Genomic DNA, 4,540 nt, shown 5'->3' on the forward strand with positions numbered 1-4,540 from the left:
ACAAGTGCGCTTAATCTCATCTCCATAAGATTTTCATCTTCAAGTGACTTAAAGATTTATATATACTTAGTGTATAATCATTCAGATGAGATTAGATATTAATAAAGAATATTAAAAAAAAAAATTCTGACCAAGCACGGTGGCTCACGCCTGTAATCCCAGCGCTTTGGGAGGCCGAGGCGGGCGGATCATCAGGTCAGGAGTTTGAAACCAGTCTGACCAACATGGAGAAACTGCGTCTCTATTAAAAATACAAAAATTAACTGGGCATGGTGGCACATGCCTGTAATCCCAGCTACTTAGGAGGCTGAGGGAGGAGAATCGCTTGAACCCGGGAGGCGGAGGTTGCAGTGAGCTGAGACGGTGCCACTGCACTCCAGCCTGGGCAACAGAGCGAGACTTTCCGTCAAAAAAAAAAAAAAAAAAAAGTACCAGATACCAAAGGTGAAAGAACTCATTATTTTAAACCTTAGAGTCTCAGATTCTAACACGGGATAAGAAGTATCTTCCCAGGGGGTAGGGCCAAGATAGCTGACTAGAAACAGCGGCGATCTGAGGCTACCACTGAGAAAAACCATAATAAGCGTGTGAATCCTTACCAGCAACCAAGCTATGGAGGTTCTCTCATCAGAACTGACTAGGAGGCTGGCGTGATCCACGGAGAGGCAGGAAGAGCAGTGTGGTGAGGGGTGGCCCACCTGAGAGCCACAAGAGGCAGGGGAGCCCCCACTCCCACAATGAAGGGGGCAGTGAGTGAGTGTGCTACCCAGCCAGGGAAACTGTGCTTTTTTCCCAGAACTGTGCAACCCACGGATTGGAAGATCCCACTTGCAAACCCACACCACCGGGGCCTAGCATCCCAACCCGGGAGTCACGCAGATTCTCAACAGCCTATCAGCTGGAATCTGCTTAAGCCTACCGAGCTCCTGCGGGGAGGGGTGACCAGGCCACAGCTGAGGCTGCCTGCTGTCTAAGCCGTTTGAGCTCCTTGGGGGAGGGGCAGCAGCAGCCAGCACTGGGACTGATAACTGCCTAATAAGCTAAACTTTCTGGGCGAGAGAAGGGTGGCACTCATCTCTATAGCTCCAGGCCATGCTTTTCCCCTGCTGGAGCCAGGGAGGCTGGACAGCTTGGTCCCAAGACATGCCCCCCACAGCCCAGCACACCCGCTGTGGCAGACTGCAGCCAGAGGGCCTCTTCAGGACTGACCCTGACACATCCTTCCTCACTGGGTGGGAATTCCCCGCAGGAACTCCAATAACTTCAGCCAGAGGCTCAGGGACAGAACCCAGATCTCCCTGGGCCTTAGACCCTAGGGGGAGGGGTGGCCACAGTTTCTGTGGACCAGCAGACTTAGCCTTTCCTCCTGGTAGTTCTGAGGAATCCAGGCAGCCCAGACAAATGGGTTTTCCCCTAGCAAAACTCACCCCCTCCACCAAGGGACAGTAAAAGTACTTTGTTAAACGGGTCCTGTTCCCATGCCACCCAACTAGGTGAGACCCTCCAACAGGGGTTCTCAGACACCCTATACAGGAGCAATCCCACTGGCATCAGATTGGTGCCCCTTGAGTCAGCGGTCCCAGAAGGAGCAGGCACCCATCTTTGCTGTTCTCCAGCCTCCTTCAGTGACATCTCCAGGCACGGGAGCGAACCAGATGAATAGGGCTTGAAGTGAACCCCTAGAAAATGGCAGCAGACTTACAGAAGAGGGACCTGACCATTGAAAGAAAAACAAACAGAAAGCAACAACAGAATCAGCAACAACAAAATGGTCCCCACAAAACCCTATCCAAGGGTCAGCAGCCGCAAAGATTGAAACTGGACAAACTCACGAAGATGAGAAAGAATCAATGAAAAAAACACTGAAAACCCAAAGGCCAGAGTGCCTGTTCTCCTCCAAATTATTGCAACATCTCTCCAGTGAGGGCGCAGAACTGGAAAGAGGCTGAGATGGACAAATTGACAGAAGTAGGCTTCAGAAGATGGGTAATAAAAAACTACAGTGAGCTAAAGGAACATGTTCTAACCTAATGCAAAGAAGCTAAGAACCTTGATAAAAGGTTAGAAGAGCTGCTAACTAGAATAATCAGTTTAGAGAGGAACATAAATGACCTGATGGAGCTGAAAAACACATCAAAATAACTTTGTGAAGCATACGCAAGTATCAATAGCTAAATCAACCAAATTGAAAAAAAGGATATCAGAATTTGAAGACCAACTTGCTGAAATAAGGCACGCAGACAAGACTAGAGAAAAAAGAATGAAAAGGAATGAACAAAGCCTCCAAGAAATATGGGATTTCATTAAAAGACCAAAACTGTCATTGACTGGAATACCTGAAGGAGACAGGTAGAATGAAAACAAGCTGGAAAACACTTCAGGATATTATCCAGGAGAACTTCCCCAACCTAGCAAGACAGACCAACATGCAAATTCAGGAAATACAGAGAACACCACTAAGATACTCCATGAGAAGATCAACCCCAAGAAACTTAATCATCAGATTCTCTAAGGTTGAAATGAAGGGGAAAATGTTAAGGGCAGCCAGAGAGAAAGGACAGGTCACCTAAAAAGGGAAGCCTATCAGACTAACAGTGGACCTCTCAGCAGAAACTCTACAAGCCAGAAGAGATTGTGGGCCAATATTCAACTTTCTTAAAGAAAAGAATTTTCAACCCAGAATTTCATATCCAGTCAAACTAAGCTTCATAAGCAAAAGGGAAATAAAATCCTTTCCAGACAAGCAAATGCTGAGGGGTTTTGTTACCACCAGGCCTGCCCTGCAAGAGCTCCTGAAAGAAGCAGTAAATACGGAAAGGAAAAATGGATAGCAGCCACTGCAAAACCACACCAATTATAAAGATCAAACTGTATCAACTAGTGTGCAAAATAACCAGATAAGATCATGAAGACAGGATTAAATCCACACATAACAATACTAAACTTAAATGTAAATGGATTAAATGCCTCAATTAAAAGAAACAGACTGCTGTGCTGTATTCAGGAGTCCCATCTCATGTGCAAAGACAGACAAAACAAAGGGATGGAGGAAAACTTCCCAAGCAAATGGAAAGAAAAAAAAAAGCAAGGGTTGCAATCCTAGTCTCTGACAAAACAGACTTTAAACCAACAAAAATCACAAACAACAAAGACGGGCATTACATAATGGTAAAGGGAACTAAAGCTAACTATTCTAAATATATATGCACCCAATACAGGAGCACCCAGATTCATAAAACAAGTTATTAGAGACCTACAAAGAGACTTAGACTCCCACACAATAATAGTGGGAGACTTTAACACTCCACTGTCAATATTAGACAGATCGACGAGACAGAAAATTAACAAGGATATTCAGGACATGGACTCAGCTCTGGATCAAGTGGACCTAACAGACATCTACAAAACTCTCCACCCCTATTCAATAGAATATACATTCTTCTCAGTGCCACATGGCACTTATTCTAAAATAGACCACATAATTGGAAGTAAAACACTCCTCAGAAAATGCAAAAGAACGGAAATCATAACAAACAGTATCTCAGACCACAGTGCAATCAAATTAGAACTCAGGATTAAGAAACTCACTTAAAACCACACAATTACATGGAAATTAAACAATTTTAATTTGCTCCTGAATGGAAACTTAACAATTTTAATTGCTCCTGAATGACTCCTGGGAAAATAATCAAATTAAGACAGAAATCAAGAATTTCCTTGAAGCCAATAAGAACAAAGAGACAATGTATCAGAATCTCTGGGACACAGCTAAAGCAGTGTTAAGAGCGAAATTTATAGCACTAAATGCCCGTATCAGAAAGCCGGAAAGATCTAAAATTGACACCCTAACATCACAATTAAAAGAGCTAGAAAGGCAAGAGCAAACTAATCCAAAAGCTAGCAGGAAACAAGAAAAAACTAAGATCAGAGAAGAATTGAAGGAGATAGAGACACGAAAAGACCTCTAAAAAATCAACGAATCCAGGAGCTGTTTTTTTTTTTTTTGAAAAAATTAACAAAATAGATAGACTACTAGCTAGACTAGAGAGAAAAGTCAAATAGACACAATAAAAAATGATAAAGGGTATATCACCACTGACCTCACAGAAATGCAAACTACTATCAGAGAATACTATAAACACCTCTGTGAAAATAAACTAGAAAGTCTAGAAGAAATAAATAAATTCGTGGACACATACACCCTCCCAAGACTAAACCAGGAAGAAGCCAAATCTCTGAATAGACCCATAACAAGTTTTGAAATTTGAGGCAGTAATTAATAGCCTACCAAAAAAAGAAAGCTCAGGACCAGATAGTTTCAAAGCCAAATTCTACCAGAGTACAAAGAGGAGCTGGTACCATTCCTTTTGAAACTATTCCAACAATTGAAAAGGAGGGACTCCTCCCTAACTCATTTTATGAAGCCAGGATCATCCTGATACAAAACCGGGAAGAGACACAAAAAGAAAAGAAAACTTCAGACCAATATCCCTGATGAACATCGATGCAAAAATCCTCAGTAAAATACTGGCAAACCGAA

General features: G+C 43.1%; 1 annotated feature.

Moving 5' to 3' along the window:
• Positions 1,020-1,519: an enhancer, noted in NCBI's record as "H3K4me1 hESC enhancer chrX:25995097-25995596 (GRCh37/hg19 assembly coordinates)". NCBI's record gives its function as "activates a minimal SCP1, AML or CMV promoter by ChIP-STARR-seq in naive H9 embryonic stem cells {active_cell/tissue: H9 hESC(naive)}" and the evidence as "EXISTENCE:reporter gene assay evidence [ECO:0000049][PMID:30033119]".

The sequence above is a fragment of the Homo sapiens genome, chromosome X (genome assembly GCF_000001405.40).
Source record: "Homo sapiens chromosome X, GRCh38.p14 Primary Assembly".
Lineage (NCBI taxonomy): Eukaryota > Metazoa > Chordata > Mammalia > Primates > Hominidae > Homo > Homo sapiens.